This window comes from Homo sapiens, chromosome 7 (genome assembly GCF_000001405.40).
Source record: "Homo sapiens chromosome 7, GRCh38.p14 Primary Assembly".
Lineage (NCBI taxonomy): Eukaryota > Metazoa > Chordata > Mammalia > Primates > Hominidae > Homo > Homo sapiens.
In genome coordinates, this window is record NC_000007.14 from 91,985,462 (window position 1) to 92,009,916 (window position 24,455).

At 36.5% G+C, this 24,455-nt stretch overlaps 1 protein-coding gene across 2 annotated transcripts in view, besides 1 other annotated feature; it reads left to right on the forward strand.

Annotated features, from left to right (window-relative positions):
* Positions 1-24,455, forward strand: part of AKAP9 (A-kinase anchoring protein 9) — a 169,812-nt gene that overhangs the window by 44,600 nt on the left and 100,757 nt on the right. For both annotated transcript variants that reach the window (NM_005751.5, NM_147185.3), the window contains exons 4-8: positions 6,697-6,750; positions 7,424-7,594; positions 9,160-9,315; positions 10,142-10,339; positions 15,387-17,774. In NM_005751.5, coding sequence (NP_005742.4) covers positions 6,697-6,750; positions 7,424-7,594; positions 9,160-9,315; positions 10,142-10,339; positions 15,387-17,774 — 2,967 coding nt within the window. The remainder of the gene's footprint in view (positions 1-6,696; positions 6,751-7,423; positions 7,595-9,159; positions 9,316-10,141; positions 10,340-15,386; positions 17,775-24,455) is intronic.
* Positions 10,042-10,221: a silencer, noted in NCBI's record as "silent region_18366". NCBI's record gives its function as "represses an Ori minimal core promoter by ATAC-STARR-seq in GM12878 lymphoblastoid cells {active_cell/tissue: GM12878}" and the evidence as "EXISTENCE:reporter gene assay evidence [ECO:0000049][PMID:35858748]".

Sequence of the window (24,455 nt, forward strand, 5' to 3'; positions counted from 1 at the left end):
GCTGACTTGATCACGGTGGATAAGCTTTTTGATGTGCTGCTGTATTTGGTTTGCCAGTATTTTATTGAGGATTTTTGCATTCATGTTAATCAGGGATATTGGTCTAAAATTCTTTTTTGTTGTGTCTCTGCCAGGCTTTGGTATCAGGATGATGCTGGCCTCATTTAAGTTAGGGAGGATTCCCCCACCCCCTTTCTTTTTTCTGTGGCGGAGTCTCACTCTTTCGCCCAGGCTGGAGTGCAGTGGCATGATCTCAGCTCACTGCAACCCTCGCCTGCCGGGTTCACACAATTCTCCTACCTCAGCCTGCTGAGTACCTGGGACTACAGGCGCGTGCCACCATATCTGGCTAATTTTTCGTATTTTTATTAGAGATGGGGTTTCACCATACTGTTCAAGCTGGTCTCGAACTCCTGACCTCTTGATCTCCCCACCTCGGCCTCCTAAAGTACTGGGATTACAGGCATGAGCCACCTCGCCCAGCCAATTCCCCCTTTTTCTATTTATTGGAATAGTTTCAGGAGGAATGATACCAGCTCCTCTTTGTACCTCTGGTAGAATTTGGCTTTGAATCTGTCTGGTCCTGGACTTTTTTTGGTTGGTGGTCTATTAATTATTGCCTCAATTTCAGAGCCTGTTATTGGTCTATTCCGAGATTCTACCTGGTTTAGTCTTGGGAGGGTGTATGTGTCCAGGAATTCATCCATTTCCTCTAGATGAAAGAAATGGGACCTGCTGAGCCAGGCACGGGAGAGAATCTCCTGGTCTGCCAGTTTCTGAGACCATTGGAAAAGCGCAGTATTGGGCGGGAGTGTCCCGTTTTTCCAGGTACAGTCTGTCACAGCTTCTCTTGGCTAGGAAAGGGAAATCCTCCAACCCCTTACTCTTCCTGGGTGAGGCGATGCCCTGCCCTGCTTCGGCTCACCCTCCATGGGCTGCACCCACTGTCCGACCAGTCCCAGTGAGATGAACCAGGTACCTCAGTTGGAAATGCAGAAATCACCCGTCTTCTGTGTCGCTCACGCTGGGAGCTGCAGACCGGAGCTGTTCCTATTTGGCCTTCTTGGAACGGATCCTCACAAATTTTAATTTTAAATATTGATTTGAAAAGCTAAAGAGGTCAAAAGATGGTGATTTTCAGGTTTTCTGTAGGAAAATGTTAATTAATAGTATGGGAAATTCTTGTTATAATAAGACAGTCTTCAGCTAAATTTTTTAAATTAAAAAACTGGTGGAGATTATCAGGTTCCAAAAAATGTATTGAACCTATTTATCTGAGATGCCTAGTAAATATATGTTTTAAGGTAAGGTACAAATAGTATTTAAGTGTAAGTACTACCGATAAAACTTAGAACAGTATTTATCATACTTGTTGACCATAGCTCATGGTGAGAAATATATTTTACATACGTTTGTAATTTCATATATATACATATATAGTTACATATATTTATAGTTATATACATGAATAATTATATATGAATAAATATATACATATGCATACTTTTTTCCAAACAAGTTTTTGGAAAGATACTTATTCTTACAGTATGACATATCTTGTGATGATACAGTTTCTTGTTAATGTTGGTCAAAAAAACTAAATTGATGAGCTATCTTACCGTGTGGAATAAACAGTGATTTAGAAGATTACATTGAAAAAAGATAATTATGAGCCAGGCACGGTGGCTCATTCATGCCTGTAATCCCACACTTTGGGAGGCCAAAGTGGGCGGATCACCTGAGGTTAGGAGTTGGAGACCAGTTTGACCAACATGCTGAAACCCCATGTCTACTAAAAATAACAAAAATTACCTGAACATGGTGGCGTATGCCTGTAATCCCAGCTACTTGGGAGGCTGAGGCAGGAAAATTGTTTGAATCTGGGAGGTGGAGGTTACAGTGAGCCGAGATAGTGCCATTGCACTCCAGCCTGGGCAACAAGGGTGAAATTCTATCTCGAAAAAAAAAAAGAAGAAAAAAGATAATTATGAAATAATTTTTGACAGATTTGACCTGGTTTGAATTATAACCCTAGTAATATTTTGTGTGTTATGTATGGATTCACAACGGATTATACTTTGAGAAATTTATAGATTCACTATGTCTAGAGAAAACGTAGAAGTAAAGTTGATATTTGGTGAAATGTTTGATATGTGTCATCAAAATTGCTAAGATGGATACTAGTTGGATCTGTGATGCTCTAGGCTAGTTTTGAGGCTTGAATTCCTCCATTTAATGATATTAGACTGGCTTGACTCAACTAGAATTACAGGAGACTTCTAAGCCATATCCACCTATTCAGGAGGCAGAAAAATCATCAGTGGACCAAATTTATAACCCGAGAAATAAACTCATACTGTAATAGTTTTTATATTGGAACTTTTATGGAATTATCTCTCAATAACACACCTAAAAAATGAGATTTATTGGCCGGGCATAGTAGCTCACACCTGTAATCTCTGCACTTTGGGAGGCCAAGGTGGGAAGATCACTGGAGCTCAGGAGTTCGAGACCAGCCTTGGCTACATAGGGAGACATCATCTCTACAAATTAAAATAATAAAATAAAATTAGCAAGGCATAGTGGCGGGCACATGTAGTCCCAGCTACTTGGGAGGCTGAGGTTACATTTTTCAATGTAATCTTCTAAGTCACTGTTTATTCCACACGGTAAGATAGCTCATCAATTTAGTTTTTTTGACCAACATTAACAAGAAACAGTATCATCACAAGATATGTCATACTGTAAGAATAAGTATCTTTCCAAAAACTTGAGCCCAGGAGTATGATCACACCACTGGCACTCCAGCCTTGGTGACAGAGCAAGACCCCCTCTCAAAAAAAAAAAAAAAAAAAAAAAAAAAAGCTAGGTGATAGTGTGTGCCTGTACTTCCAGCTGCTCAAGAGGCTGAAGTAGGAGGATCCCATGCACCCAGGAGTTTGAGTTTGCAATGACCTAATGATCACACCACTGCACTCCAGCCTGTGTGACAGAGTGAGACCTTGTCTCAAAAAGAGAAAGAGAGAGAGAGATTTCTGGGCAGTATGTAACATTATAACTTCACTGCAATGCCATATTTGCAAAGTTTAATAATCTTGGCAGATCTAGATTGTATTTGAGTATTCTAAAATTTTGAAATCAAGTAGTTTTAATCATAGATCACATAATTATCTTGTATTTTACCTAAATATGACTATCATTTTTCTGGTAAATAGGGCAATAAGATGTAAGAAAAGAGCAGGGGGACTTTGGAGCCAGAAAGTCCTGTTTACATACTTCATCACCTTTGAACTGTATGAACCTGGGCACATCACTTAAACTCTGAAATACAGTTTGTTTTTTTATTATTATTATACTTTAAGTTCTAGGGTACATGTGCACAACATTCAGGTTTGTTACATAGGTACACATGTGCCATGTTGGTTTGTTGCATCCATCAACTAGTCATTTACATTAGGTGAAATACAGTTATTTAAACTATAAAATGGGGGACGATGATATCTACCTGATATATTTGCATACCTCACAAAGTAGTTCACAAAATAAGCTTGAGAATGTTTAATATGTGTTTGGCATACATTAGACGTTCAGCAAAGTGTGGTTTTTTAAATTGCTCATCACTAGAAATACACTTTTCTTTACACTACATTTATATGAAATGAGTGATGATGATTCCCTTAATAAATTGTTCTCAGAAGGATTTCAGGTTCTGATAATATTTGATTAGAACTTAATTTGTAAATTGTATTTATTTAGGTATATTGTGGGTTTAATGTTCTTGACTTCTGTGACTAGTACACTCATTGGGTTGGAAAATTGGTTCCATCTTAGAATTAGTCAAATAATATTATTCCAAGATCTCTTTTGTAGAAATATGTATCCTATTATGTACACTAGAGAAATCGGACTAAATGAAAAATACTCTTCTTACAAATTAAATTATATGCAGTCATCTTCAATCATTAATGAAGGGACGTTTCATGTCCAGAATACCATATTTACATGAATTGTTTTTGATACCCTTTGAGCAGGGTTATTTGGAGGAAGTTGGGAATACAGGCAATATAGAGTCAAGACAAGTAGATAAATATACTTTGCCATGTATAGAAAGATGAAATGATAGTAATAGGGTATTCACTCTTATTATAGATTTCATCTGATTATTGAATACTTTTTAACCAAGTGCTTATATGGTTTATGACATTTATTTTAACCTCGTTAATTACTTGACTGCAACTCCATAAGTCATTTAGGCACATTGAACTCTTATAATTTTCATGAACTTTTATGAGCCATCAGATTTTTATTTTTTATGAAAATATTCAATATTAATGTTTTTAATTTATATATTTCCAAATTAAGTACAAGAATAAGGTATTAATCATAAATAAGGATGAGTTGTTCTTTTATATTTCATCAACCTAATGTTCACCACAAGGATGAGTTTTTATGTGAAGGCCATTTTATAGTCACATAGTGAAAGTTACCTTTCCTCTGATTCTTTCTGAATAGCAATGTTGTTATGATGTGATACCTCTATAAAACATTTTAAAATTTAAAATGTACCTCACTTGTACTTTCCCAGATCTTTAAGTTATCTGTACAGATAGAGTAAATTTTTCTGTGAATGCAGAAAGAATACATTAACATAGTCTGTAGGTTAAATAACTTCAACAAATGCCACAATAAAAAAGGACATTGAGAGAAGTTGAGCTTTTTTCAGTTGAAGGAGTCTGTTAATCTAATCTTCATGTTTCAAGTCATTTATTTACTTTCATATGAAGGTTTACTTAGTGTTAGAAGACTAATGTTAGAAGAGGAGATAAATACTCTACCCTTTAGTTATCAATAAAATAATTATCTAAATTTAAAAACAGAATAATTTATTGTTAACTATTAATGATCCTGATATTCTGTTAAGTGTTCCTGTTCTAACTTTGGAATATAGTGTGTTTTAGTTTAGTTCTGGTGAATAATCTTTTATAGCCAATTTGTATGATGTTAAACTTTTCAGATTTATTAATATTGATAAGTTTTACATTTATTATAACATAAATATGTTTTGAAACAGTCATGTATTAATGGTATTTTAAGAATTCAATACATATGAGTTCAAGTATAACATTTGCTTATCTGAATTAGAGAAAAATTAAACAGCAGTGGCTAAATAAAGTACTAGATGAAACTATAAACATAATTATTATAAAATGGTAACTGATAACTGATTCATGTAATACTGACAGTTATTACAAACTGATAACTGATAACTGATTCATGTAATACTGACATAATCACTCCTTAAAGGAATATTCATTGCTTTGTATCATATTTGAAGAAGCAGTAGTCCCCCATCCCTGTTTTTACTTTCTGTAGTCAACCATTATCTGAAAATATTAAATGGAAAATTCCAGAAATAAACAATTCATAAGTTTTAAATTGTGCCTTGTTCTGGTAGCATGGTGAAATCTTGCTCCATCCCATTCATCCCACCCAAGATGTGGATCATCCCTTTGAACATACAGTGGATCTACACCATATACTCTGTCCATCTCATGTTCATTTAGTAGCTGTCTACCTTATCAGATCAAAAAACCATAGTGTATATAGGGTTCAATACTATTTATGATTTCAGGCATCTACTGGGAGTCTTGGAACATATCCCCTGTGGATTAAGGAAGACTACTGTATTCATAAACATCCATTTCGTTACACTGATAGGCTACAGTAAAATATTTTAGAGGACACATCAGAATGCTTCATTTCAGGATCAAGAAAAGCTAATTGCAATTTAGAAGTATTTAATTTGAAAGTTATTGCAAATGTCTTGATATTAATCTTTTAATTAAAAAAATTTTTTAGAGACATGGTTCTCAGTATGTTGCCCACAGTGGAGTGTGGTGGCAATTAATAGGTGTGCCAGTTGTGCACTATATCCTCAAACTCCTGGGCTCAAGCAGTCCTCCTGCCTCAGCCTCCCTTGTAGCTGGAAACCAGCCAAATGGGAAGAACTCTTTTTTTTTTTTTTTTTGAGACAGAGTCTTGCTCTGTCGCCCAGGCTGTAGTGCAGTGGCTCGATCTCAGCTCACTGCAAGTTCCGCCTCCTGGGTTCACGCCATTCTCCTGCCTCAGCCTCCCAAGTAGCTGGGACTACAGGCACCCGCCACCACACCCGGCTAATTTTTTGTATTTTTAGTAGAGACGGGGTTTCACCGTGTTAGCCAGGATGGTCTCGATCTCCTGAGCTCATGATCTGCCCGCCTCAGCCTCCCAAAGTGCTGGGATTACAGGCGTGAGCCACCACACCCGACCTAAATTGTTTTACTTGAAAATGAATAGGGCTTAATAAATAATTATTTGAACCATTTTAAGGAAGCCTTTCATAGAAGAGATTTTATTGAGGTTTATACTTCTGAAGAGCAAACAGAAACTGCACTTAGAACTTTAATTCACTTAAGTGAAAATGTATATATGTGTCTTTTGCATTGTAAGCACTCAGATTTGTGAGGAATGATTGGCATTTGAAATGGTCATTATGTCTCTTAGATATTTTAAATTAATCTCTGTATCTGTTTTCGCCAATGATGCATTTTCCCTAGGAATAAAAGACATACACGTGAATACAGTTAACAGAAATATTGTTAGCTAAATAAAATTATGTCTAAGATCATAATATATCAGGAAATTGTTTTTATACAGGTAAATGGTTGCAGTTTTGTGATGAGAACAGGAAAGCCTACAAATTTATTAAGGGTACAGTATTTAAAACTACTTGTGATACTAATGTTGGATACTATTTAAAATCATCTGGCTTACTAACAAAACTTTTTCCTGCATGTACTTCTTTCTGTGTGTGATTTCAAATTAATTTTAATGTTTACTAAAACAAAGTTATCTACCATTTATTATAAAACTCAATTGTAGGCCAGGCGTGGTGGCTTACGTCTGTAATCCCAGCACTTTGGGAGGCCGAGGCAGGTGGATCACCTGAGATAAGGAGTTCGAGACCAGCCTGACCAACAAGGTGAAACCGCATCTCTACTATAAGTACAAAAATTAGCCGGGCATGGTGGCAGCCGCCTGTAGTCCCAGCTACTTGGGAGGCTGAGACAAGAGAATTGCTTGAACCCGGGAGGCGGAGGTTGCAGTGAGCTGAGATTGCGCCACTGCACTCCAACCTGGGTGACAGAGCAAGACTCTGTCAAAAAAAAAAAAAAAAAAAAAAAACTCAATTGTAACAGAATTTGCGGATAACCTGTTTATGTTCTTGAGGTAAATATGTTAACGAAGTAGGTTGCCATACCATAATCTTCCAGGTGGTGAGTGATGTTTTAAAGTGGACCTTGCTATGGATTTCAGTATTTGAATCTCTCTCCCTAAGGAATATTGCTAATACTGAATTCTTTAAAATCTTGGATTGATTTAGGAAGAAGAATTTGGTGTTGATGATTCTTATTCTGAACAAGGAGCACAAGACAGTCCGACTCATCTAGAGATGATGGAAAGTGAGTTGGCTGGGAAGCAGCATGAGATTGAAGAGCTAAACAGAGAGCTGGAAGAAATGAGGGTTACCTATGGGACTGAAGGACTGCAGCAGGTATGTTTATTTTCTGTGGCTTTTGATTTGCTACTCACAAAAACAAAAACAGGAAATGTGAATAATAGTAGTCTTTAAAGATGGGGTTTTTAAAATTTTTTTTTAACTTTTTTCTTTTCTTTTCTTCTTCTTCTTCTTCTTTTTTTTTTTCCATACAGGGTCTTGCTCTGTTGCCCAGGCTGGAGTGTAGTGGTGCAATCTCGGCCCACTGCATCCTCTGCTTCCTGGGCTCAAGCGATCCTCCCACCTCAGCCTTGTGAGTAACTGGGACTACAGGCATGCACTACCACACCCAGCTAATTTTTTGTAGAGACAGGGTGTCACCTCAGATTCCTGGACTCTCCTTGGCCTCCCAAAGTGCTAGGATTACAGGCGTGAGCTACTGTGCCTGGCCTAAAGAAGGGGGTTTTAAAATGGTAACTTAGTGGGACACAGTGGCATGCACCTGTAGTTCTAGTTATTCAGGAGGCTGAGGTGGGAGGATCACTTGAGCCCACGAGTTCAAGTCCAGCCTGGGCAACATTGGGAGTCCCTGTCTCTTAAAAAATCAAACAGAAAAGTAAATGATAATATCACTCATAATTTTTGTCTTTATACATTGCATAAACAACCCTGTTTAAAAGTAGGATTTCATTAACAGGGTTAATATAACACAGACTCTTTTTTAACTTTATGATAGCTAGCCTGAAATCACTTTAATAAGACAGATGTTTTTGTAATCAGCCTGAGAGAAAATTATGGTGCAAACCACATCAAAATATTATAACTTAAGTCCATTAAGAATGTCAGCAAGTTGGGCATGGTGGCTTATGCCTGTAATCCCAGCACTTCAAGAGGCTGAGGCAAGAGGATAGCTTGAGTCTGGTAGTTTGAGACTGGCAGGGTGAAAATAGCAAGACCCCGCTTCTACAAAACATTTAAAAATTAGCCAGGCATAGTGGTGTGTGCCTGTAGTCCTAGTTACTTGGGAGGCTGAGACAGGAAGATCACTGCAGCCCAGGAGATTGAGGCTGTAGTGAGCCAAAATCACACCGCTGCACTCTAGCCTGTACAACAGAGCGAGACCCTGTCTCAAAAAAAGAACAGAAAAACGATGTCAGTGGGTCCTTGTAAGTAACCTCTTGTGGTTAGACTAACATCTGTGGTTAGACTGCCATAACTGTCTATGGCAGTCAGTTATGAAAACAAGATGAAGTAGGACATTGATGAGGATGACAAAAATACATATCAGTTTCATCCTCTTCAGAAACAAGTTGGAATTAAACATGTCTAGGGTGGTGTTGCCTGGGAACAGATTAGGGGCACCCCTAAATATAAAGGCACTTGTCCTTCTATAAGTAAATATATGGATAAGCCAGATCAATTTTTTCCTTAGTTCAGATAAATTTTTTGAAGTTGATTTGGAAGCACCAATTTCTGTAAGTTAATAGTTTTCAAATGTGGAAAATACTGATTACAAAGTGTAAGAATTATGCCAATGTGTTTTGAATTCTTATTTTGAAAAAGTTACCTGTAATAATAGTCAATTAAAAAAAATAAATCTAGCACTTACTATTTTCTTTCAGTTACAAGAATTTGAAGCTGCCATTAAACAAAGAGATGGCATTATAACCCAGCTCACTGCTAATTTACAACAAGCAAGAAGAGAAAAGGATGAGACAATGAGAGAATTTTTAGAGTTGACAGAACAGAGTCAAAAATTACAGATTCAATTTCAGCAAGTAAGTATTACTAATGCAACAAAATTCATTATTTTTTTAGTAATGAATTTTAAAAATTCACTTTCAAGAACAAATCTAAATTTGTTAAAAAAGCCATTTCGTATTATATCATGTATGAAAAATTAGTGAATATGTGTTGCTATATTAACCAGGAATTTAATTCATACTTCTTAAATGGTTCTCTACTAATATTTTCTTTTCATTTCCTCCCTGTCTCTATTTTGAAATCTTACAAATTGTGTAAGGTTGATTGAGGGTATTTCTGCAGAAATTAACCTGTAGTCACATCCTACCTTTGCCAATTCTGGTATGGTTTATTTTAGTTAGGTTCTAAATGATAACAAAACTAAATATATTCCATTTTCCTTTAATTAGAGCCACAGGAATCTAACTGCATTAATCAGAATTTCTGATGGCAAGTAGCAAAACAATTTGAAATAGTTTAAGCAAAAGGGAGGTACTTAGTGTAAGGATTCAGGCTGTTTCCAGAACCCAAGGGCAGAAATACAACCAGGCCTCTGAAAGGGATTGGAACTACAAACTGGAAAGCCATAGGGAATTCGGGAAGTACTGTCTTTGATGCCCCACTTTTCTTCGTATATCTGCCTCAGTCTCAGGAGACCTAGGTTCTCTGCTGTATCATGGAAAAGATAAGTTTATTGGCTCGGCTTGGGTATACCTATCTAGTCAGCCAAGGTAGCATGTTTGCTAGGGTCTCAAGCCTGCAGAGTTCCCAGAGAGCTATTGCAGGGACACCCCAAAGGTGTCTGTTCCCTAATACAGTCACTTCAGAATTTAACGTTTTGAGGTTTCTTTCTATTTTCAGTTACAGGCTAGTGAAACTCTGAGAAACAGCACTCATAGTAGCACAGCTGCAGACTTACTACAAGCCAAACAACAGATCCTCACTCATCAACAGCAGCTTGAAGAACAAGACCACTTATTAGAAGATTATCAGAAAAAGAAAGAAGACTTCACAATGCAAATTAGTTTCTTGCAAGAGAAAATTAAAGTATATGAAATGGTATGTTTATTTTAAGGAAGTCAGCTAACTTGTAGAAGCTTTAGAGTTTCAAGTTTTTTATGCAAGTGGTTTTTTTTTGTTAGGCACATGAATCACAAAATTTCATAATTAAGCTCTTTGTGTAATTTATTTCAAAAGCAAATGGGAATCTCAGTAATGTAGTTTTTAAGATAATAGTCATTACTGAGTTCCCTAAAAGTGATCAGCCTATGTTAAACTGAATTAGCAGGAAAATACAAATTTATAGCTATAGTTTTTTTTGTCATTTATAATTATTTCCACTTATTTTAGCCATGGTTGTGAAATTCAGAAAATATTTTCACAACAGAGAGAAATTTTATGGATTTTAATGAGAAAAAAATTGAATGTAGTCAGTTATCTTTATTTACATAAGTTATGTTCCATAAACTTAAGTGTTTCTGGGAACACTTATTTAGCAAATAAGTTCTCTGGTGGGGGATTGTTGGGAGGAATATGTGTCCGTGTATGGGTGCGTATATTTTACATATATGTGTATCACATTGATTATAATCTTAAATCATAAAACTACTCATCCTGGAAGATTCTTTTTCTTTATTTTTTAAAAGGGAAATCAAGGTTCAGAAGTGACTTGCCTGAGGCCACCCCACTAACAGGTGTCAGACTGGGATTCAGATCCTGTCAGTTGCCCCAGAGCTGGAGCTTCCTGTACTACACTGCACTACCTCGGGTCCTCTCCATCCCTCTGGTCCTCTCTATAAGGGATGAACAAGGCAGTGTGGTCACCTTGTTTGACCTCAGCTAGAAGTGTATGTCCAGCAACTCAAATTTTTTGTCGCTCTGTGCACACCTACAAATGACTAAAAGCACCATGAGCATTGATTTGGGGGTTACAAATAAATTTTAGCAAGAACTCACAAATATGGAATCTACAAAGAATGAGGATGGATTGTACATGCAATATAATACTTTTTATAAACTTAGGAGGTTCTTCTGCAAGAGGTTGAGAAATTACCAAGACAAGAATATTGCTTGGATGATAATAATAATAGTAGTAGTAATTAGCATTTATTAAGTGCTTACTGTGTAACAGGCAGTATTCAAAGCATCTTATATTAACTCATTGAATCATCACCATAGGCCTGTGCAATAGAAGTACAATTATCACTCCTATTTTCTAAGTGAGGACACCAACACAAAGCAAGATGAGGTAAATTGCTCAGGTATACACAGGTAGTAAGTTGATAGAGCCAGATTTCAAATCTAAGTTGTCTGACTCCAGAGACTGCTTTTAAATAATAGGGAATGTACAAATTGAAGACAATGAAATTATGAAAAATACATGCTTTACCACTAAGGTAATTTAAAAATTATTAGGTAAATATTTACAGAACACCTATTTTTGTAGCAGGCCCTTGCAAGAAATACAGTGAGGCTTAAAATGTGCCCTTTTCTTCACTGGAACTCAGATGAGTAGGAGAGCTGTGGCATGTACAAAGGACACCACAAAACAGGGATAAGTGTGGGCAAAAAGTGCTTTGAAAGTTCTGAATAGGTCTGGCTTCATAAGAGAAGAGATTCAGGGTAAGCTTTAGTGGAAGAGTTTCCATTTGAGGTAAGTTTATAAATTGGGACAACTTTTTAATTGTATTTTGTTTCCCCAACAATTGGCCTAATGCCTGGAACATAGTAGCTACTCAATACTCACTTTGTAAACAAGTGGGTAAATTAAGGATCTCAACTGATAGAAATGGGGAGGACTTTTTAGATAGAGTGTGGAGTAGGCATAAAGACTCAGGATGAAACATGTTAAAAATCAGTAAGGAGCAAAAAATGGTGTAACTTGTCTAGAAACAGTAATCTTTGAAAGTTAATCTTTCCAGGAGGTAAGAGTGGGAGGATAATCTAGGACTAGGTGAGAAGAGCCTGGAGATTGGATTGTATTATATTTACTCTGTGGGCAGTGTAAATTGAGATTATTTAAAATTCAAGTAATTCATTTTGTAGGGGGAATAACCTTTGTTATTTGAATATAACAAGAATACTTTTATCAATCTGTTTTTCACTATATACATTTTTTTAAATTTTTATTCTTAAGAAAATGAATCCCCCCAAGTAATAATTCTATCGGCAGCTGAGATATTAGGGTCAGCTAAGGCATTGGGGTCACAAATGAAATGGTCTTGGTTCCCTAGACCAGTGGTCCCCAACCTTTTTGGCACCAGGGCCAGTTTCGTGGAAGACACTTTTTCCACAGACATGAGGGAGGAATGGTTTTGGGATGACATCAGGCATTAGTTAGATTCACATAAGGAGCTTGCAGCCTAGATCCTTCACATGCACAGTTCACAATAAGGTTCGAGCTCCTAGAAGAATCTAGTGCCGCAGCAGATCTCACAGAGATCTCGCTGGTAATGCTTGCTTACCTCCTGCTGTGTGGCCCCATCTCTAACAGGCCCCAACCGGTACCGGGTCTGCAACCTGGAGGTTGGGGACCCCTTCCCTACACAACTGTGTTGATGATCAAAAGCTCATTCTCATTGTCCTAATCCTCCAAACTTCCCATTGGTGCCGTAGCATAGTATTTCCCCCCATCTCAGGTGTATTTCCAAAAGATAGTGTATTCAACCACAGGGCTCTTTTTTTTTTTTTTTTTTTTTTTTTTTTTTTTTTTTTAGAATTCAGAGTAAGTGGTTTAAAACCATGTACTTTGAAATAAGTGATACTAAGAAAAATAAACCATAAATTTGTGTTGTTTAACGGTTGAAAGAAGAATTATTGTTGGTTGTTATTATATCAGGTGTTGGACAATTTTGAATTAAATGATTAAATGATACTGTTTTATGAAGGCCCCACTCCCCTATATAAATCAGGAAACAGAAAAGTTAAATTTTGTAACATTAACATTTTTCAAACTTAGTTACTTATTTAACAGTTTAACTGGAATTGACCACCATGAACTGATTTTACTTTCTCATAGATTCCAAATGTGTTACAGATTTCTTTCTAGTATGTAAATATATTACACTCGTATATATTAATAGTACAGTAAGAATAAAATGCTTTAATAGGTGATGTTTTATTTTAGCATATTCTGTGAGATAGAGGAAATAATAATATTTATATTGTATGGATGAAAACACTGGGATTAAAGGAGATTAAACTGATTTATTAATATCCTATTGTAGTGCAGAGTTTGAAGTAAGAAGGCTCAGGACTTGGTAATAACATGGTAATATTGGGTGGGATATGTGATACCAAGGCACAAGCTGATAGAATTTTGCCCAAGAGGCTGCATAGGATAACATTCATTGCCTTGGTTAATTTATATAGTACAGAATCTGGCCTTCGACTTGTAGGTTCAGAAGTCTGATTTTTTTTTCCCCTGTCAACTGAGACGAGCTACCTCAGAAGTGAACTCAGATTTTTCAAAGTTAACGAGGCTAATTTTTTTTGTTTGTTTTGAGACAGAGTCTCGCTCTGTCTCCCAGGCTGGAGTGCAATGGTGAGATCTCAGCTCACTGCAACCTCTGCCCTCTGGGTTCATGTGATTCTCCTGCCTCAGCCTCCTGAGTAGCTGGGATCACGGGCGCCCAGCCCCACGCCCAGCTAGTTTTTTTATTTTTAGTAGAGACAGGGTTTCACCATGAGGCTAATGTTTAAAGCTTGAATAAGATTATTAATTTACAATGAGAAATCATTATCACAGAGACCTAAATATTTCAAGTTCATTGGATTTTATATTATTTCCATGGGCAAATGAATTTTAAAAGCCACATAATAATTAGAAAGTTATTTAGTGACCATGAGATTAAAAGGTTTTAGAGGAATCAGATGTTCAGGGGCATTAGGCTGAGATAACCTGATCTATCTATCTCACAGTAGGAATGGTCATGCCTATAGATGGGAATTCTTAAATGCTGTTTGCTGCAACCCCTGACATTTCTTTCTACATTTGGTAATGTTTTTTCTAGAGCAACCAAAATTCTCAAAGGCTGTACTTGAATGGGCACTGCCAACATTTCCCTCTGAGGCTTTTCTTTTTCTCAGCCTTGACATTTCTTCTTTAGTTATGTTCATTCATTCATTCATTCATTCATTCAAGGCACCTTTAAGTCCTGTTTGCCTGGGACTCCTGTCTCTTTAAAATGATTTTACTTACCTACTTATGTCCTGATCCATTCTGTAGATTTCATGTATTTATTTGTTTTTGAGACTATAGCCCTCTATTACTTACAGAGGCAAGTAAGTTACTGAAGCAAAACTTTGACCTAGGGCCTCTGCTTGACTTTGTCATGCTGAAGTAATCACCATAACAGATATGCCTTGGCCTGTGTCTGGGCGTAGCCCTATCTCCATTCCAAAATAGAATCCCAAATAAGAACTGGGGGAGAGTATCTGCTTTGCTTTGAAAATTCTGTTTAAACCAAAAGTCCTAGGACCAAGTTGTTATGCCATAAATGGTATAGTTGTCTTAGATGTCACTTGAGGTTCAGCCTTTTAAGCATTGCATATCTCTAAATTTCTGACTGACTTAAGAGCCCAGGACTGAAGTTAAGACAGACCGTTAGGAGTCTGTTTTTGTTGTTTTTCTTTTTCCATAGCCCTTGCCCATGACACACATTGAAGTCACCAGAATACATGTGAGGAACTTTTATTTATTTTTATCTTTCTGAATGTGTCTAGAGTATATGCAGTACTTTAGCTATAGAGAATACTAAATATTTAGAATGTTGATCAGTTAATAAGAAAAATGAAAATGTAACAGTTTGGAGACATCTAAAATCAGACTGGGTTTTTAAACTAAAAATTTTAATCACAGAAATGTTAAGAGAAATTTCTTCTAAGAAGGCCAAAACTACTGTAGTGTTTGCTCACAAGTAGTGTTGGTTACACGAGTTCTAAGTGTCATTATTGTGGAAAAAATTGAGGGGCAGGACCAACATTTACTTTTTGTAGAATTTTTTAAAAGAGAAACTTCTGTCAGTCTTTTGGTAATGAGATGAAGCAGTATAATTTGCCAGAAGCTAAAAATGCCATTCTTACATTTTCATTTTTTTTCCTAAAGGAACAAGATAAAAAAGTAGAAAACTCAAATAAAGAAGAAATACAGGAAAAGGAGACAATCATTGAAGAATTAAACACAAAAATAATAGAAGAAGAAAAGAAAACTCTTGAGCTAAAGGATAAATTAACAACTGCTGATAAATTACTAGGAGAATTACAAGAACAGATTGTGCAAAAGAACCAAGAAATAAAAAACATGAAATTAGAGCTGACTAATTCTAAGCAAAAAGAAAGACAGTCTTCTGAAGAAATAAAACAGTTAATGGGGACAGTCGAAGAACTTCAGAAGAGAAATCATAAAGACAGCCAGTTCGAAACTGATATAGTACAACGAATGGAACAAGAAACACAAAGAAAGTTAGAACAACTCCGGGCAGAGCTGGATGAGATGTATGGGCAGCAGATAGTGCAAATGAAACAAGAATTAATAAGACAACACATGGCACAGATGGAGGAAATGAAAACACGGCATAAGGGAGAAATGGAGAATGCTTTAAGGTCATATTCAAATATTACAGTTAATGAAGATCAGATAAAGTTAATGAATGTGGCAATAAATGAACTGAATATAAAATTGCAAGATACTAACTCTCAAAAGGAAAAACTCAAGGAAGAACTAGGACTAATTTTAGAAGAAAAGTGTGCTCTACAGAGACAGCTTGAAGACCTTGTTGAAGAATTGAGCTTTTCAAGGGAACAGATTCAGAGAGCTAGACAGACAATAGCTGAACAAGAAAGTAAACTTAATGAAGCACATAAGTCCCTTAGTACAGTGGAAGATTTGAAAGCTGAGATTGTTTCTGCATCTGAATCCAGAAAGGAACTAGAATTAAAACATGAAGCAGAAGTTACAAATTACAAGATAAAACTTGAAATGTTAGAAAAAGAAAAGAATGCTGTGTTAGACAGAATGGCTGAATCACAAGAAGCTGAATTAGAGAGGCTGAGAACACAGCTTCTATTTAGTCACGAAGAAGAGCTTTCCAAACTGAAGGAAGATTTAGAAATTGAACATCGAATAAATATTGAAAAACTTAAAGATAATTTAGGCATTCACTATAAACAGCAGATAGATGGTTTACAGAATGAAATGAGTCAAAAGATAGAAACCATGCAGTTTGAAAAGGACAATTTGATAACTAAGCAGAATCAATTAATTTTGGAAATTTCAAAGCTAAAAGATTTACAGCAGTCTCTTGTAAATTCAAAGTCAGAAGAAATGACTCTTCAAATCAATGAACTTCAAAAAGAAATTGAAATACTCAGACAAGAAGAAAAAGAAAAGGGTACACTTGAACAAGAAGTTCAAGAATTACAACTTAAAACAGAATTGTTAGAAAAACAGATGAAGGAAAAAGAGAATGATCTTCAAGAAAAATTTGCACAACTTGAAGCAGAGAATAGCATTCTTAAAGATGAAAAGAAAACCCTTGAAGACATGTTGAAAATACATACTCCTGTTAGCCAAGAAGAAAGATTGATTTTCTTAGACTCCATTAAGTCCAAATCCAAAGACTCTGTGTGGGAAAAAGAAATAGAAATACTTATAGAGGAAAATGAGGACCTCAAACAACAATGTATTCAGCTAAATGAAGAGATTGAAAAGCAAAGGAACACTTTTTCATTTGCTGAAAAAAACTTTGAAGTTAACTATCAAGAGTTACAAGAGGAGTATGCTTGCCTTCTCAAAGTAAAAGATGATTTAGAAGACAGTAAAAATAAACAGGAATTAGAGTATAAAAGTAAACTTAAAGCACTTAATGAAGAGCTTCATTTGCAAAGAATAAATCCAACTACAGTGAAAATGAAAAGTTCTGTCTTTGATGAAGACAAAACTTTTGTAGCAGAAACATTGGAAATGGGTGAGGTTGTTGAAAAGGATACAACAGAACTCATGGAAAAACTTGAGGTAACCAAGCGAGAGAAATTAGAGCTGTCACAGAGACTGTCTGATCTTTCTGAACAATTGAAACAGAAACATGGTGAGATTAGTTTTCTAAATGAAGAAGTTAAATCTTTAAAGCAAGAGAAAGAACAAGTTTCATTGAGATGTAGAGAGCTAGAAATCATTATTAACCACAACAGGGCAGAAAATGTACAGTCATGTGATACTCAAGTAAGCTCTTTATTAGATGGAGTTGTGACCATGACAAGCAGGGGTGCTGAAGGATCAGTTTCTAAAGTAAATAAAAGTTTTGGTGAAGAATCAAAAATAATGGTGGAAGATAAAGTTTCTTTTGAAAATATGACTGTTGGAGAAGAAAGTAAGCAAGAACAGTTGATTTTGGATCACTTACCATCTGTAACAAAGGAATCATCACTTAGAGCAACTCAACCAAGTGAAAATGATAAACTTCAGAAAGAACTCAATGTACTTAAATCAGAACAGGTATGTTTACTTCTTCATATATGGTAAAGCACAATGAAAAAAATGTACATTTCACACTAAGGTTTCACCTTCATAGAACATAAGTTCATATCCTTACAAGAGAATGAAAATGAACCCTCTGATGTAATTTTAACTTGAGCCTATCATTTATTTATCATTTAAGTACTTTTTTTTTTAAACCATTGTTGCCTTTCTTTCAGTTAATCTATCTTGTATATTCTGCTCAGGAAATAAAACACTAATGGATTCAGATTTTCTTTGGAAAGACAAGAGTTTGTATAACTTTATGGAGAATCTCAGCATTAGAAAAGTTATTAATTTCATTTTGTAATTTTTGTTATAATCTCAAAGATTGGTTTCAGCGTTTTTATTTCATAGTGATGTTTTCAAGTCTCTACAACTGAAAATGAACTCCTAAGCTTTTTAATAGTCTCTATAGTTGTTAGGTGGTTATGAAATTATATTTTCCTGGGAGAAAAAAAAACCTTTGATTTAAGTCCTAGAGTTTTTTCAGAGTCTTTATTATACCTGAAGGGGAAAAAACAGTATTAACTCTAAATATAGTTAAAGAATTATATGTATATAATAATAGATCACTCCTGATAATTTATATTTGCCAGATACTGATATTAAAATAACAGGAAAATTCTGCTATCTACAATGTAATGGTGCTAACTAAAGTTTTATGTGTTTCTTCATTTTTCTAACATATTTATTGACTCTCTTGGCAAGTACGAATATAGTGGCCAACAAGAGAGAGGTTTCTGGTCTCAAAGAGCATATATTTTAGTGAGGGAGGCAGATGATAAATGAAACAAGTAGGATAGTGAGAAATAGTGATAAATTCTCTGAAGAAATAAAACAGGATAATGTGATAGGGAATGATGGAATTATTTCTGAGGGCTCTGTTCTGTTCCATTGGTCTATATCTCTGTTTTGGTACCAGTACCATGCTGTTTTGGTTACTGTAGCCTTGTAGTATAGTTTGAAGTCAGGTAGCGTGATGCCTCCAGCTTTGTTCTCTTGGCTTAGGATTGACTTGGCAATGTGGGCTCTTTTTTGGTTCCTTATGAACTTTAAAGTAGTTTTTTCCAATTCTGTGAAGAAAGTCATTTCTGTGAAGAAAGTCATTCCTGATGGGAATGGCATTGAATCTATAAATTACCTTGGGCAGTATGGCCATTTTCACAATATTGATTCTTCCTATCCATGAGCATGGAATGTTCTTCCATTTGTTTGTATCCTCTTTTATTTCGTTGAGCAGTCGTTTGTAGTTCTCCTTGAAGAGGCCCTTCATATCCCTTGTAAGTTGGATTCCTAGGTATTTTATTCTCATTGAAGCAATTGTGAATGGGAGTTCACTCATGATTTGGCTCTCTGTTCGTCTGTTGTTGGTGTATAAGAATGCTTGTGATTTTTGCACATTGATTTTGTATCCTGAGACTTTGCTGAAGTTGCTTATCAGCTTAAGGAGATTTTGGGCTGAGACGATGGGGTTTTCTAGATATACAATCACGTCATCTGCAAACAGGGACAATTTGACTTCCTCTTTTCCTAATTGAATACCCTTTATTTCTTTCTCCTGCCTGATTTCCCTGGCCAGAACTTCCAACACTATGTTGAATAGGAGTGGTGAGAGAGGGCATCCCTGTCTTGTGCCAGTTTTCAAAGGGAATGCTTCCGGTTTTTGTCCATTCAGTATGATATTGGCTGTGGGTTTGTCATAAATAGCTCTTACTATTTTGAGATATGCCCCATCAGTACCTAATTTATTGAGAGTTTTTAGCATGAAGTGCTGTTGAATTTTGTCCAAGGCCTTTTCTGCATCTATTGAGATAATCATGTGGTTTTTGTCTTTGGTTCTGTTTATATGCTGGATTACACTTACTGATTTGCGTATGTTGAACCAGCCTTGCATCCCAGGGATGAAGCCCACTTGATCATGGTGGATGAGCTTTCTGATGTGCTGCTGCATTTGGTTTGCCAGTATTTTATTGAGGATTTTTGCATCGATGTTCATCAGGATATTGGGAATGTTGGAGAGGGTAGTAACAACATTAAATATGGTGGTCAGGAAACATCTCTAGGAGGAATTGACATTTGAGCTGAAATCTGAATGACATTGAAATTAGAGCAATTGTAAAGACACGGGTAAGTTTAAAGAACAGAATGAAGGCTTGTGTAGTTGAGTTTGAGAGAGCGGGAGAGTGGAAGAAGAGTTTGAAGGAGGAAGAGACCAGACCTTGGAGAATCTTGCAGACTTTGGAAGCCATTGGAAAGTTTTCTCTTTTTATTCCTAAATATATCATATTTATGATCTTATATCAAATGTCGAGATATTTTATATTTATGATTTATATCAAATGTAGAGATATTTTATATATTTACTTGCCTAAATAGAGTCAAGAAATTCGAATTGCTTAACGATTTTTTTGTTTGTTTGTTTTTGAGACCGAGTCTCACTCTGTCACCCGGGCTGGAGTGCAGTGGCGTGATCTCAGCTCACTACAACCTCCGCCTCCCGGGTTCAATCAATTCTCCTGCCTCAGCCTCCTGAGTAGCTGGGATTACAGGCATGCACCACCACCACGCCTGGGTAATTTTTGTATTTTTAGTAGAGACAAGGTTTCACCATGTTGGCCAGTTTGGTCTCAAACTCCTGACCTTAGGTGATCCAACAGCCTCGGCCTCCCAAAGTGCTGGGATTACAGGCGTGAGCCACCATGCCTGGCCAAATTGCTTAACTGTTAATGTTCTGTTAAATGTCTGGAATTGTTTTCAAAACCAAAATGTATGGCAGTTACTTGTGAAAATGTCACACATCTTTTAAAATTTTTTAGGAAGCATTTTTGGGAGAAGACCTGAATTTGACCCTCAGATGGTCAAATTTTCTTATTAGGAATTCTAATTTTCTTTTTCTTTTTCTTTTTTTTTTGAGACAGGCTCTCACTGCCGTCCAGGCTAGAGTCTCATGGCGCAATCACAGCATCCTGCAGCCTTGACCTCCTGGACTCAGGTGATCCTCTCACCTCAGCCTCCTGAGTAGCTAGTATTACAGGCATGCACCACACACCCAGCTAGGTTTTTGTATTTTTTGTAGAGACAGGGATTTGCCATGTTGCCCAGGCTGGTCTCAAACTTCTGGGCTTAAATGATCTTCTTGCCTTGGCCTCCTGAAATGCTGGGATTACAGGCATGAGTCTTTGTCACCAGCCAGAATTCTATTTTCTGTACTAAAGAGATACTAAAAAGATACTTTTGATGGCATTCAGATTCCCTCTATTTGACATTGACTACATAAAGTAAAGCCTGTAAACTTCCTGCCCGTTCATCATTACCAAGACAAACCTTTATTGATGGGAAGGGAAGTTCACAGAAGAAATCGAGCAGTGACTTACACAATAGTAACACCTAAGAGCAGCCTAAATATGCTTGAAATAATGTGGATGCCACACAGATATCTCTAATACACTTAGGTAGTTTGGGCAGAAGGAGAAAAATAAAAACATCATAGAAGTCTTTTCAGTGTTGGGATGCAAGGAAGAAGGAAGAGTGGCAGGAATTTTTTAGATACTGATTAATTATTGATGCTGGGAGAGGTCATAGATTGAAGTGTATGTGTTTAAAATTGAAGATGATTATTAGAATCAAAAGAGATACCGGAGCTTAGAAACTACAGGAGGAACCACTAGAATATCAGCTCCTTGAGAACAGGGACCCAGTCTCCTGTATCTCTAATGCCTAGAATAATGTCTGACACATGATAGGCAGTTAATAATTTTTTTAAATGAATGAATGAATTCATGAATAAAAGGGGGGGAATAAATAAAGCCCACTTACCAAGAACCAACAGTGAAATAGCACAGGCCTTCATGTTAGAGTCAGGAAGAAGATCAGAATAGCTTTTGTCACTTGCTTTTCTATTGTGTAGGTCCTAACCATTGCAAAGACAAAAAGATATATGGTATGAATGGAGAAAAAGATACTTAATTGTCATAATTCCCATGTATAATTAAATTAAAAATTAAGCATGAGAACTGAAATTCTTTTTTTTTTTTTTTTTTTTTTTTTTTTTGAGACAGAGTCTCACTCTGTCACCCAGGCTAGAGTGGATCTCAGCTCACTACAAACTCAGCCTATCAAGTAGGTGGGATTACAGGTGGCCTCCGCCATGCCTGGCAAATTTTTGTATTTTTAGTAGAGATGGGGTTTCACCATGTTGGCCAGGCTGGTCTTGAACTCCTGACCTCAAGTGATTTATATCTTTAATGTAAAATAAATATGAATAAAACAATGTAAATAAAATTATAACACTTTAATGAAGGATAGGAGGCTTGAATAAATGAAAAGTCTCATTTCTGAGTGGGAAAATTTGAATATCGTAAAAACCCAGGTTATCTCTAGATTAATCTGTAATCCTTATGTAGTTCCATTCCAACTCACAATGAAAAGTTACTGAAGTTCAACTTAGTAATTGGTTTATAGTTTATCTGGAGAAGAAATGCACAAGAAGAGTCAATAATATTTTTGAAAAACGCAGAATAGTAATTGGTGTATAGTTTATCTGGAAGAAGAAATGCACAAGAACAGTCAAGAATATTTTTGAAAAATGCAGAATGCATTTAACATGATGTGTTGAACAATGTTTAGCCTTAAATATATTGATTTTATAAATATTGAAAACAAGTTAAGCTGTTAGTTCTAGAGGCTAGAATATCAGAGCATGTAGACTTAAGAAAAGTAAAAAGAAGGAAATAATAAAGTTAAGAACAAAATAAGCAAAGTTAGAATAACCAAAACAGGAGGAAAAGTTTTCAAGGATTTTGAAAGTTTATTATTTGAAAACACTAGTGGCTGGCCGTGGTGGCTCACACCTGTAATCCCAGCACTTTGGGAGGCCGAGGTGGACAGATCACAAGGTCAGGAGTTCAAGATTGACCTGATCAACATGGTGAAACCCCGTCTCTACCAAAAATAAAAAATTAGCCGGGCATGGGGGCGCGTGCCTGTAATCCTAGCTACTCAGGAGGCTGAGGCAGGAGAATTGATTGAACCCGGGAGGCAGAGGTTGCAGTGAGCCGAGATCGCGCCACTGCACTCCAGCCTAGGCGACAGAAAAAAAGAAAAGAAAAGAAAACACTAAAAGTATTAGACTTTCAAGAATATGGGCCAGCGGGCGTGGTGGCTCATGCCTGTAATCCCAGCACTTTGGTAGGCCGAGGTGGGTGGATCACGAGGCCAGGAGATCGAGACCATCCTGGCTAACACAGTGAAACCCCATCTCTACTAAAAATACAAAAAATCAGCTAGGCATGGTGGCATGCGCCTGTAATTCCAGCTACTCATGGGGGCTGAGGCAGGAGAATCCCTTGAACCCAGGAGGTGGAGAATGCAGTGAGCCAAGATCGCATCACTGCACTCCAGCCTGGGTGACAAAGTGAGACTCTATCTCAAAAAACAAAGAATATGGGCCAGGCGCGGTGGCTCACACCTGTAATCCCAGCACTTTGGGAGGCCGAGGCAGGCAGATCACGAGGTCAGGAGATCAAGACCATCCTGGCCAACATGGTGAAACCCTGTCTCTACTAAAAATATGAAAAATTAGCTGGGCATGGTAGCGTGCACCTGTAGTCTCAGCTACTCTGGAGGCTGAGGCAGGAGAATAGCTTGAACCCTGGAGGTGGAGTTTGCAGTGAGCTGAAATCACACCACTGCACTCCAGCCTGGCAACAGAGCGAGACTCCATTTAAAAAAAAAAAAAAAAAGAAAATGATCGGGAAAAAAAGACATAAACCAAATGAGGCTTGATGCAGTTGCTCACACCTATAATCCCAGTGCTTCGGATGGCTGAGACAGGAGGAGTGCTTGAGCCCAGGAGTTCAAGACCAACCTGGGCAATATAGCAAGATGCCTGTCTCCACAAAAAATTAAAAAATCAGCCAGATGTCTGCAGTGAGCTATGATTGCACCATTGTACTTCAGCCTGGGTGACAGAGTGAGACCCTGTCTCTAAAACAAACTAACAAAATCAAATGAATGAAAATCAAAACCTACGTATAGATACCAAAGAGATTCATAAAAGTCATAAAAGAATACTATAAATAAACATCCATCAACAAATTTGAAAATAGACATAAACTGATGGTTTTCTGGAAGAATATAAACTACCAGAATCAACTCAAATAGAAATATAAAACCTGAATAAGCCAATAACAATTAAAGAATTTGAAATCATAGAGATTTTCCCTCTCTCCTCTCCTCCAACCAGAAATATTAGACTGAGACCATTTCACAAATGGGTCTTACCAACTCTCAACGAATATATAATTGCTTAATAAAATAGGATTAAAGGGAGAGAACTAGGGGGAAGAAAAGAAGGAAAGAAGAAAGGTAAGCTAGACAAAAGAAAAACCCAGTTATCTAATGAGACTGGTACAATATTGATACGAAGACCTGATAAGAACACTACAAACAAATAAAATTATAGATGAATCTTACTTATGAGTGGCTGTAGAAATCTTAAATAAAATATTAGCAAATTATTCTAAGAATGGAAGAATAGTTCAACATCTGAAAAATCCATTAATGTAAACTTCACATTCATAGATAGCAGGAAAAAAAATCCATATGATAAATTTTATTTTTTATTTTGTTTTGTTTTTGAGATGAGGTCTTGCTCTG